This window comes from Homo sapiens, chromosome 3 (assembly GCF_000001405.40).
Source record: "Homo sapiens chromosome 3, GRCh38.p14 Primary Assembly".
In the NCBI taxonomy this organism is placed as follows: Eukaryota; Metazoa; Chordata; class Mammalia; order Primates; family Hominidae; genus Homo; species Homo sapiens.
The window spans coordinates 149,262,418-149,275,835 of NC_000003.12; the positions used below are offsets into that span (position 1 = coordinate 149,262,418).

The window sequence follows — 13,418 nt, forward strand, 5'->3', positions numbered from 1 at the left end:
AAACTGTACGAATACATTAAAATTAAACAACATGATCCTGAGTGACCACTGGGTCAATGAAGAAATTAAGTAAGAAATTTAAAAATTTATTGAAACAAATGAAAATGGAAACCCAACAAATCCTTTAAGATTCAGCAAAAGCAGTGCGAGAGAGTATTTTATAGCAATAAATGCCTACATTAAAAAAGCTGAAAAAGGCCAGGTGTGGTGGCTCACACCTGTAATCCCAGTACTTTGCGAGACCAAGGCAGGAGGATCGCTTGAGGTCAGGAGCTCGAGACCAGCCTGGCCAACATGGTGAAACCCTGTCTCTACTAAAAATACAAAAATTAGCCGGGTGTGGTGGTGTGTGCCTGTAATCCCAGATGCTTGGGAGGCTGAGGCAGGAGAATCACTTGAACCAGGGAGGTGAAGGTTAGAGTGAGCTGAGATCATGCCACTGCACTGTAGCCTGAATGATAGTACGAGACTCTGTCTCAAAAAACAAAACAAAAAAAAGTAGAAAGATTTCAAGTAAATATCCTAATGATGCACCTCAAGGAACTAGAAAAGCAAGATAAACCAAACCCCAAATTAGTAGAAGGAAAGAAATAATAAAGGTCAGATCAGAACTCAGTTAAAAAGAGACTAAAAAGACATACGAAGGCTCAACTAAATGAAAAGTCAGTTTAAAAAAAAAATAAACAAAATAGATAAACCACTAGCTAGACTAACCAAGAGAAAAGAGAAGACACAAATAAACAGAATTAGAAATACAAAAGGAGACATTACAACTGATACCATAGAAATACAGAGGATCATTAGAGATTATTATGAACAACTGTACAATAACAAACAGAAAAACCTAGAGGAAATGGATAAGTTCCTGGACACAGATAACCTACTAAGATTGAACCAGGAAGAAACAGAAAACCTGAACACTCCAATATTGAGTGATGAGATTGAATCAGTAAAAAAACATCCCCCAAGAAAGAAAAGCCCAGGACTGGATGGCTTTACTGACAAATTCCACCGAACTTACAAAGAAGAATTAATACCAATTCTTCTCAAACTATTCCAGAAAATTGAAGAACAGGGAATTCTTCCTAACTCATTCTGCAAGGTCACCATTACCTTAATACGAAAACTAGACAAGGACACAACATAAAAAGAAAACTACATATCTCTGATGAACATAGATGAAAACATCCTCAACAAGATACTTGCAAACCAAATCCAACAAATATCAAAAAGATAATACACCATGATCAAGTGGGTTTTTTTCCCAGGGATGCAAGGATGTTTCAACATAGCAAACCAATCAATGTGATATATTACATTAACAGAATAAAGGACAAAAACCATATGATCATATCAGTAGGTACAGAAAAAGTGTTTGATAAAGTTCAACATCCTTTTGTGACAAAAACTCTCAACAAATCAGGCATAGGAGTTACACTCTTAACATAATAAAGGCTATATATGACAATCCCACAGCTAACATACTGAGTGAAGAAAACCAGAAAGCCTTTCCTCCAAGAACTGGAACAAGACAAGGATGCCCACTTTCACCATTCCTATTTGACATAGTATTGGAAGTCCTAGCCAGAGCAGTCAAGCAAGAGAAAGAAATAAAAGGCATTCAAATTAGAAAAGGGGAAGTCAAATTTTTCCTTTTTGCAGATGACATGATCTTATATATAGAAAAATTTAAAGACACTACGAAATAACTCTTACAATAAATGAATTCAATAAAGTTGCAGGATACAAATCAACATACAAAAATCAGTAGTGTTTCTATATACCAATAACACAGTAGCTGAAGAAGAAATCAAGAGAACAATCCCATTCACAATAGCTACAAAACAAAAACCAAACCAAACAAAAAACCTAAGAATAAATTTAACCAAAGAGATGAAAGATGTTTACAAGGAAAGCCACAAAACACTGATGAAAGAAATTGAAGAGGATACAAAAAGTGGAAAGACACCCCATGCTCATGGATCAAAATTAATATTGTTAAAATGACCATTCTACCAAAAGCAATCTACAGATTTAAGGCAACCCTATAAAATACCAATAACATTCTTCACAAAAATAGAAAAAAAAATCCTATAGGCCAATGACATATAGGCCAACGAAAAAGAATAGAGAACCCAATGACATACAGGCCAATGAAAAAGAATAGAGAACCCAGAAAGAAATAAGTCCATATATTTACAGCCAACTAACCTTCCAAACAAAAAAAAGTGACAAGAACATAGAATATACACTCGGGAAAGGACACCTTCTTCAATAAATGGTGCTGGGAAAACAGGACATCCATATGCAGAGGAATGAAATTAGAGGCCATATCTCATCATATGCAAAAATCAACTCAAAGTGGATTAAATGCTTACATGTAAGACCCAAATATAAAAACTGACTAGAAAAAAACATGGGGGAAACACTCCAGGACATTGATCTAACTATTTTATAGCTAATACCTCAAAAGCACAGACAACAAAAACAAAAATAGACAATTTCGATTATGTTAAACTAAAATACTTCTGCACAGCAAAGGAAACAATCAACAGAGTGGAAAGAAAACCTGTTGAATGAGAGAAAATATTTGCAAACTATTCATGTGACGAAGGATGAATATCCAGAATATACAAGGAATTCAAACAGCTTAACAGTAATAATAATAATAACAATAATAATATTCCCATTAAAAAGCAGGCAAAGGGTCAAATGAAGAGACATTTCTCTACAGAAGATACACAAGTGGCCAACAAACAGATATATGAAAAAATGCTCAGCATTACTCTTCATCAGGGAAATGCAAATCAAAATCACAATGAGATCTCATCTCACCCCAGTTAAGATGGCTATTATCAAAAATACAAAAAGCAGCAAAAGCGGCTGAGGTTGCAGAGAAGGAACTCTTACACACTGTTGGTGAGAATGTAAATTAGTACAGCCATTATGGAACGCAGTATGGAGTTTCATCAAAAAACTAAAATTAGAACTATCATACAATCCACTACTGGGTATTTATCCAAAGGAAAAGAAACCAGTGTATCAAAGGGATACACCTTTGATACTACACCTCCATGTTTATTGCAGCATTATCCCCAAAAGCCAAGATATGGAATCCAACCCAAGTGTGCATTAACAAGTGAATAGTAAAGAAAATGTACTATATATACACAATGGAATGCTATTCAGCCATAAAAAAGACTGAGACCATGTTATTTGCAGCAACATGGATGCTGGGGTGCATTATATTAAGCAAAATAAACCAGGCGCAGAAAGACAAATGTCATATGCCCTCATACATGGGAGCTAGAAAAGTCGATTTTATGGAGGTAGAAAATAGAATGATGGTTACCAGAGGCTTGGAAGAATGTGTGGGGGTGGTGGTGGGGGAGTAATGGATGATGAAGAGAGGTTGGTTAATGGGTACAAACATACAATTAGATAGAAGAAATATGCCCCAGGGTTCAATAGCTCAGTGGGGTGACTATGGTTAATAACACTATATCGTATATTTCAAAATAGCCACAAGAAAAAAATTGAAAAGTTTCCACCACAAAGAAATGATAGATGTTTGAGGCAATGGATATCCTAAATGCTCTGATTTAGTTATCACATATTGTATGCGCATATCAAAATATCATATGTACCCCCTAAATCTGTACAAATATCATGTATCATTAAAAAATAATTAAAAATAAAGACGGGAAAATGTCACTTGACATAATATTCTTTGCTTTCTCAAATTCCTGTGAGTGCATTAGAGAAAAATAAGTATCATAAAGAACGTTATTTTCTGGTGGTTTTAGGACTTTGTCTGTTCTAACATGTGTCTTCACTCAGTAGGCCAGAAGAATTAAATCTCCTGTTGTCCTCAATATGGTAAATATACTTGGCAGTTGGACTATCAGAAAAACTTTTTGCCCACTTTTAAATGCTAATGAATGCCAGAGTAATGCATTTTAGTGTTAGTTTTTGGTTATTAAGACAACAATTGGTAATATAGTCTTAGGTGTTACTGAGTACATAATATTTATAGAATATAGTTTAAGGATATCACATTCAATGATTTAACTGTGCCTTCAGATCTTAGCAGGAGTGTATAAGTTGCACACAAAGAATGTTTTAAAATTTTAATAAAATGTTATTGATGACATTGTCTGCTATATTGTTAAATGTTTCATAAGTATAGAGTAAATCCATTTTAAAGTTTTGTGCTAGGAAAAAGATGAATAATATATTTTCCTTTACATTGTCGGCCAGCGCATTTAGAGAAGAATTTTGTCTAGCAATGCTCCTTGGCTTCAAAATTTTCCAATTACTTTCTTATATTTATTTTATCAGTATATTTTAATTAGATGCCTAAATCTTTTTCAGAAGTAACTAGATTATGAAATTTTTCAATTATCTTAATTATTTAACTATAAATATTTTAACCAGTGACTCATTACCTTCCAGCTGCTGTTAAATTTTTTTTAGTGAAGAAATCTATACCAGATGGAGCATAGTTCCAAAGAATTTCTTTAGCAGCAATATAGTAATGTATAACATGTGTCCCAGTAACAAAGGCTTCTGTTGAAGGTTTCTGGCAATTACTTACTTTGAAAAATGCCTGCATACTCTCTGAAAAACAGATAGAGAATGTTATTAAAACATTAAGACAATTTTCTTGGTCAATACATATTTTCAATTTTAGCCAACAATATTGAGACTTTCTATTTCTTTGAGAAATGTGATGTATGAAATCAATGGAAAAATTTAAGATGTATGAAATAAGTACAAAAGTCAGGATGCAAAAATGAATATTAAAGGCATATATATTATTAGAGAATAATAACCAGCTTTGGACCAACTCTGAAGTGAAGATGGTACCTACATACTGAGAAGAATTTGAGAGTCCAAGAACATCTTCCCTCATGAATATGAAATTACTACTACTAGTCATTAATGAGTTAGTTGGTTTATTCAATTAACTAGTTGGCTGGAAGAAAGAAACTCAAGGCATGAGAAGATCAGTCCTGTGTTTTAATTTCAGAGCACCGTTGGTGGGAATGTAAATTAATATAGACTTTATGGAAGACAATTTGGCAAAATTTGTTAAAATTAAAAGCCCTGGCAGGCAGTGGGTCACACGTGTAATCTCAGCACTTTTGGAGGCCAAGGCAGGCGGCCTCACTTGAGCCCAGCAGTTTGAGACCGGCCTGGGCAACATGACAAAACCCCATCTCTACAAAAAAAAAAAAAAAAAAATCAGCTGGGTGTGATGGTGTATGCCTGTAACGCCAACTACTCCGGAGGCTAAGGTGGGAAGACTGCTTGAGCCCAGAAGATCGAGGTTGCAGTGAGCCATGACTGCACCACTGAACTCCAGCCTGAGCAACAGAGCATGACTCAAAAAAAAAAACAAAAAAAAACCTCTCTGCCATTATATAGTTTCACTTCTTGAGAGTCATGAGAAATATTTTCACATACATGAAGAGACATATAAAAAGGTATTAAATAAGGTCAGGCACGGTGGCTCATGACTGTAATCCCAGCACTCTGGGAGGCCGAGGCGGGCGGATCACCTGAGGTCGGGAGTTCAAGACCAGCCTGACCAATATGGAGAAACCCTGTCTCTACTAAAAATACAAAATTATCTGGGCATGGTGGTGCATGCCTGTAATCCCAGCTACTCAGGAGACTGAGGCAGGAGAATCGCTTGAACTTGGGAGGCAGAGATTGCGGTGAGCTGAGATCGCGCCACTGCACTCCAGCCTGGGCAACAAGAGGGAAACTCCATCTCAAAAAAAAAAAAAAAAGGTGTTAACTATAACATTGTTAATAAACCAAAAAGGCAGTAGCAACTTAAACATCTGTTTGTAGGCAAAAGGTTAAATAAATTACAGTACAACCAAAATATGGAAAACTATGCAACAGTTAAAAAAAAAAAGTTAAATGTATAGAGAATGCATGGAAAGAGACTTCAAGACTTTGATATGAGTGATGAAAACAACAGAATATTATATGCAGTGTGATCTACTTACATAAAACAAAGCACAAAACATAGCTATGTATTTTTATTTCTACGTGTTCATGTTTATGTTGTGTGAAAGTGCATAGCGAACAGGTTTTCAAATACTTGCACAAATTGATTACAGTGGCTAAGATGGTGGTGGGGTGGAATTGGACTGATGGTGTGTCCTTAAAGCAGCTCTCCAAAACTAAACACAAACTCTGATTTATGTGCTAATTTTTTTGTAGTGTAAGCACTTCCCATTGCAACCAATTTGAAGCTACCAATAATTTAACTGCTGGATTATTTAACTCTCAGCTCTTTTGAGCTGGAGGCTAATGTATACTGCATTAGACTTCTTTCACTTTTTCTGCCTGCTTTCCTCCACCTATTTTTCTGCCTCTTTTCCTCCTTCTCTTCTTCCATTTCTCCCACTTTTTTTCCTCCTTTCTTTCCTTCCTACCTTTCTTTCCAACAAAGGTCTATTCATATATTCTTGTAATTACTTAAAAAAAATGGAGTAAATTAAAGCGCAGAAAATCTTCAGAAGGACACAGAAAGAGGAGACACACAGGAGAAAGTGATGGGATCCCATCAGCCAACTAGGCTTTGAGGCGTTTTTTCACTTGGTCTAGGGCTGACACTAGTCTTTCTGCAGGGTTGAGGTAGAAAGACTGTCTTGAGGGTATGATCTGAGAATAAGGTAGATAGGAGGTATTGGTGGAGCTGAGTATATTTTAATCTGAAAATGATCATCTTTTCTAAGTGACAACTTTTTATCACTAAATTCAGTCCTTGAGTTATAATAGCCGTGAGTGGTTTTCTTTTTCTCACACAAAAAAATAAAGTTAAATTCTGTAATTCTAATGAAAATTATGTTTTTTTCTGATTGAAAAATAACACAGAACATTTACGTGATCATATATAGAGTTTTGTCATATTCAAGAATAAAAAAGATAAACAACAACATAACTGACCATTCTGTTATTAAATGGCAAATGTGGAGAGGGAAATAAACAAAAATAAGGAGGTTTACTTGAGTAATCAATTAGAATTATTGGGTTCTGCATAATTTCTTGCTCTGCTTCCCATAGGATTTTGATTCTTGTTTCCTCAGTTAAAGAAAAAGCTGTAATAATATCTGCTCTGTCTGACACTCAGGGTTCTCACTCAGGGTTTATATTCTCACAATGAATATAAAAGTTTTTGTAAAAACAGCAACCCAATCCTATATACTTAAAAGGATTTAAAGCTGTCAGGGACCTGGGCTCCATCACTGACTGTTTCCAAAAGGAATCATATCACCTTCTTGGATATCGGTTTCTTCATTTGTAAGGTAAGGCATTTGTAATGGGCTATGACCTTGGAAGTTCTCTGACTCTGTATCACGCAAAAGTAATAGATCACTACCATGTATCTGGCATCCCAGCATCCACACTCCAGGGGCCTTGGCCACCATGAAGGCATCTTCCAGTGAGGAGGGGAAGAGCATAATGGTGTCCTTTCTGTGATTCCGAGAGATCAGAGTTTGTCCGCGGAGGTAGACGGGGTGTATGTCAGCCACGCCACCCATGCCAACAAAATACCACTGGACCCTATCTTCAGCACACATGGTGAGATTGGGCAGATTTCCATAGATGTATCCATTTATTGCTGAAAACAAATGTATATTAATCAATCAGGCATGATAGATCAGTGCCACCTGGTAAAAATTCTGTGTATTTCCTCATCATATTAATATAAACCTCACAATGTCAACATTGTTCTCACACATAATCTATAACATCTGATTTGTGTTTCATGGGAAAGGAGTCCATATGCATTGTGTATGATGAGAAGTGAGGGGAACACAAAGGTTTAAAGGCAAGAGGAGAAAAAGTTCCTGAAAGGCAGGAAGCAGTGAAAAGGGGAAAAAAATAGAAACTAAGTTCATGAGAGAAGAAACCAAGGATAAGGGTGACGGATTATGATGACATCATTTCTGAAAAATTCTATGTTGGATAAAAACACATATTCATAAAATATTTGGTCAATTATGTCTTTGTTATTCCATATTTTATTACTTAAAGTTACGTCTTTCTTAGGTTTTTACTGTCTATTTTAAATCAGTATGAGACTTCAGAAAACAAATATTGACCAAACTTTACTTGCTATTGGACTTAGGGAATGAGCAGGCTTTACTAGTGATTTGCATTTGCATGTCAACCCAGTATACTCTGATTGAAACGCTGAAAAACATAAACTCAACTAAATAAACTTGAACAAAGGGAAATGACTGAATACGATCATAGAAGTTAGAATTATAAGATATTATGTATGAGAAAGTTCTTTTAATCGTACATTGCATGCTCATGCTCTCCTCAAAACGGGGATCACTAGTATTAATCTTGCCAGATTCAGTAAATGCACGAATATTTTCATCACTATACCAGCTTCTGCTTTCATCAGTTGTAGAAAACATCAGAAAAGAAGACCTGTCAATATCTTTTTCAGTGTCTCCATTCAGTGTCCCTGAAACAAAAAACACATTTCTTACTTTTCATGTAGACATTAATTAGAACCATTGTTACAGATACAACTACTTTTACGATCTACAGTTTTGTTAATTGTTAGGGCACGTGAAAAAGGTAAATGTTTGCGATGTGGGATGTCGGTTTTTGTAAAGTTTACAACAAACTTAAAAAAGCATATTACCTATATGAAGCCATATTTAAAGAATCCATACTCATCTTTACATCAAATCAGTAACTTTCTGCAGTGTCTGCATCTGATGACCATTATCGCGTGAGATTGTTCAAAGTCTAAAAATTTGTGTTTCCTCAAACGAAGGATAACTTTAGTTCATACCAATTTATTTATTCTTCTATGCTTATATTCAACAAATATTTATTGAATATTTGTAATGTGTTAGGTACTATGACAAGTGTTGGGTTTATAAAAGTGAACAAGACAGTTATCTACCCTTGCAGGGCATACAATCAAGGGTGGACGCCATCAATTAATAAGATACTATAGTGTGTAAAGTTCTATAGTAGGGAAGAGTTCAGTGTTTGGGAGCTGGTTAATTTAATTTTGGGTATGGAAATCTTTTCTGAAGGCAGTGACACCTCAGTTGATATTTAAAGGATGAGGAGTTTGCTGGGGTGTACCTGTAGAGAAGATTCCAGGCAGCAATTAAGATAAAAGGAATTTGGACTTTATCGTCAGAACAATCAGCAGTCCTTGAAGGATTTTAAGCAAAGGAGTGACAGACTCAGAATCATCCTCCCACCTTCACCCCCCAGACAGAAAGCCAAGTGGAGATGAATTGAAAGGGGAAGCACTAGAGACTGGTGGGGCAGCTAAGAGGCTGTTGTGGGTATCCTAGCAAAAAGATGGCAGTGGCCTGAACTAGGTTAGAGTTCGTGGAGCTGAAGAGAAGTGAGCTGACCTTGTGATGTGTACGAAGTAGAGCTGGCGGGACTTGACTGATGTATTTAGCAAGTGATGAGGGAGAGGGCAGTATCAAGAATGTTACCCAAGGTTTTGTCTCCAGTGACTAATTGGAGCATACTGGGGCCATTCCCCAAGGCAGGGAACACAGAAGGAAGGGAGAGATTCAGGGCAGGAACAAATGACGGGTTTTGGAATATGACGTATTTAGGTACGGATGAAACACCCAAGTAGAGACGCCAAGTTGCCAGGCCTGACTATCAGTAAAGGAGTTTGAACCAAAGTTACAGATTTCAGACTCATTAACCCACAGATGGAAACAAATGACTCAAAATGGATAAGATCCCTCTGTGCGCTTAGATTGAACAAAAGAGAAAAGTGCTTAGGACAGTGGGAATAAAATAGTTATAATATTTAAAAAGTATATAAAAATATAATATTCTATAAAATTATTATCAGTCCCAAATATTTTATAACAGCCTTATATTTAAAACCATAGGGCATAAATCAACATAACTGTAAGTGAGAAAGTCTTTTTCTTTTTCTTTCTTTTTTTTGTAGAGACACAGTTTCACTATGTTGCCCAGGCTGGTCTCAAACTCCTGGCCTTAAGTGATCCTCCCAACCTGGCCTCCCAAAGTGCTGGGATTACAGGCATGAGCCACTGTACCCAACCAAGGAAGGCTTGATGGCAGTTCACATACTTGCCTTTGAGAATGCAAAGCATTAAGTTATCTTACTGTTTAAAAAGAAAAGGGAGAAAGTTTGGAAATGTTCAGACTAGATAGCTAATGTTTAAGTTAAATATAATAAACACATATTCTTTATCTTGCCATTATGCAGTTGAGTTCCTTGCAATTTTGAGAAGGGCAAAAAGCTCTTCCAAAGTTGGTTTAAAAAGTTATCTCCCGGCTGGGCACGGTGGCTCACACCTTTAATCCCAGCAGTTTGGGAGACCGAGACGGGCGGATCACAAGGTCAGGAGTTCAAGACCAGCCTGGCTAATATGGTGAAACCCAGCCTCTACTAAAAATACAAAAAAAAAAAAAAGTTATCTCCCAAGGAATGTAATTTGTAATCATGAGACTATGTGTGTTTGGCATAGGAAACTGCAATTATTAAAATATTTATTGTGGAGAGATGTTTGTTCACCTAAAATTTAAACTTTGATTGTCATAGGAAGTTAAATTTGCTCATTAACTTCATAATTAATCTAGTGCTGTTGCTTTGTTGATCTTGTTTTAATGAACCAAATCAGAATTTTCAAAACTCTATATTCCCTTGCAAGTTAGAAACATATCAGCAAAACTTCCTCCTTGCAAGAATTATTAATAAACTGATGATTCTAACTGATTCACCTTAAAACATAAACACAAAAAGGTGGCAGTAATTTTGAAGGAAGATGGCCGAAGTGAAGTTTATTGGGTTTGACTACCATCTAGTGACCAACCTGAATTATTGGTTGAACTGAGGGTTGGATTTGAGATCGCCATCTAGTGCTCAGAGTCCAAGATGGCAAGTTTCCATTCTTGACTGGAAAACCAAGGTTAAGGCAGGAAAATGGAGTGCCTTGGATAGTAAAATTCCTCTAGGAGAGCAGAGGACAGCCTACCCATTCTGGTTTACTCTTTTACTGCAATGAGATTTTTTTTTAAAGTTACCTCTTTTACAAGTCAGTATTGGTCCAATAAGTCCCGAAGCTACATCTCTTGCAGTGTCTATATGGGAATGGTAAATTCTTGTCACACAATTACTGTCATTGGGGCCAGGTCCCTGATGTTCTTCTACATACCACTTGTAGGTATATTGTTTCCCTGGCTCCAGATATTCATCTTCCTTTTGCAGGCCTGTCGTATTATCAGGATAGATAGCACCTAGAAAACATATTCTGCACTGTGGTTACAGTAAATATTGGATAACACTATTTTGAATGTGACTCGGGCTTCCTCCATTATGCTACTTTGTATTTCTCAAAAAGTGTGCATTTCTCCCCACCATTTCCCAGATTCCTACCTCCCTAAATCCCCTTTAGTTGGCTTCTACCTGAATGCTCAGCTTGGCTGCAGTTTTTAGACTAAATTGGAATGAGGCAGGCAGTATATAATAGGCTATCATCACTCTTACTGATGGATTCAACAAATATTTATTTTGCACCTACCATGTGCCTAGATCTCAGATGCAGAGGTAACCTCTGGACTCCCGAGTTGCCCTCCATATTTTCTTCATTGCCAGTCAGACTTGGGACCCAGGGCATCCAAGGGTGTCCCTGTTACTTCCAAGTAGCCCACTGCAGTCCGAAGGTGGCCCATGCCGTTACTCTGAACTATTACCTCAGTTCTGACTTTGGACCGTTGCTCTCCTTTCTTTCTTCTTCTCTGGCTAAAGTGTTGCCTCAGATCCTTACCCCTCGTGGCTGGATCCTGCTAACTATGAATAAAATTCCTTTATTCAATAAAAGACTTTGAAACATGAGCAGCCTCTGATTCTCTATTCTTCTTTTGGGACCCTCCTGTTCCACACTGAACATGAAGAAATTATGACTGACTGTTTTGTACTTTCTTCCTGCCCAGCGGCCCAGCTGGAACTGGCTCCAGTCATGGTCCAGTTTCCTGAGTCTGTTTCAGTCCAGAGGATTAATTCAAGGCCTGTTTTCTAGTTCTTCTTCATGCTTCCCTGACGGAATCATCAAACCTCAGTTCAAGTTTTGAGAGTTGATTAAAAAGTAAAAAAATAAAGCAAACTCTTGTTAACATTTTTCACATTATATGTCTATAATATAGACTATTTTTCTTTTTTTTTATAGACTATATTTAAAGGGCAATAATCATTGCAAGATGGTCATGTAACATGGCAAAATAATGATGACAGATGAAAGGAATGGCATATGGGATTTCCGCTGCCCTGTATTATCATAGAGCCTCTGTTGGAAGGAGCACGTATGCTATAGGTGGTACTCTTATCAAGTTGGCCTAAAATTCCAGTTTTCTAAAGATTTATGCCAGGCCTTTTAAAAACCATATTTCAAACACTGGGAAAAAATATCTGTGTTCTACTAAAGACAATTCCAAACTCTGTTTTCCTAGCTTTCCTTGTTGTCTCCCAAAAACTCACAAAATCCTATTTGTTGGCTTTCTCTTCCCTTCCTTTTTTTTTTTTTCCAAAATCATGATGTATCTGTGACTGTAGCTGTGTAGGAGAGAAGAGTCTGCCTGGAAAGTAGTGATTTCTCTTGATACTGATATCTTCCCAGAGGGTGATCCTCATCTACTAGGAAATGGAAATGAGGTGGGGGCAGAACAGGATTTCTGCCAACCTAACATTTAGCTCATGAGTGTTTCCTACAAAACGAAACAAAAAAACACCTTTTTTTTCTTTTCTGGTGAGTAAGGGAAAAGTGTTTTATTTCCTAGGAATTGCATAAGGGCTGTCACTCAATTAAGATGAGAAACTAAAAAAGGACTGTCTTGGGTATAAACTTTAAATACATCAGAAGTAGAGTCTGCATCCACTCTAAACTCCACGTAGCTCAGAATGCTGACCAGTCCATGATTACCTGGCTTTTTCTAATGCAATGTGCTCATACTCTCCATAAGCAAAACTCAGGAAAGAGGATCTGCTTACCTTCATTTTCTTTGGAGTAGGTGAGCCCATGAGGATGATAACTATAAGCTCTTGAAGCATTATTTTTTACATGTACATAAATGAAGTCTCCAGTCTCTGCTTTAATCATTGGACCTAAAAATCCCAACCAGGATGGTTTTTCAATGATCCTTTGAAATGTATTATCAGTATCAATATTGAAAATACAAAGCCTTTTTAAAAACAAAGCTCTTCCTCGCTTGACCTCCTTGTAGAAATTCTCTATAAACAAACAAAAAAGACAGAACTTTAACAAATGTTGACTGGAAAGAAACAAAGTGTTAAATAAGCTAAATGAAAAGTCAGAAGCTCAACAGCCTAATTTTGGCAGATAAAACCCAGAGGCTGGAGAAAA

General features: G+C 36.6%; 1 pseudogene, besides 1 other annotated feature; it reads right to left on the reverse strand.

Moving 5' to 3' along the window:
• CPHL1P (ceruloplasmin and hephaestin like 1, pseudogene) overlaps window positions 1–13,190 on the reverse strand; it is a 34,246-nt pseudogene extending 21,056 nt beyond the window's left edge.
• Window positions 7,127–8,326: an enhancer, noted in NCBI's record as "MED14-independent group 3 enhancer chr3:148987331-148988530 (GRCh37/hg19 assembly coordinates)". NCBI's record gives its function as "activates an origin of replication core promoter dependent on BRD2, BRD4, P300/CBP and CDK7 cofactors, and independent of MED14, by STARR-seq in HCT116 cells {active_cell/tissue: HCT116}" and the evidence as "EXISTENCE:reporter gene assay evidence [ECO:0000049][PMID:35650434]".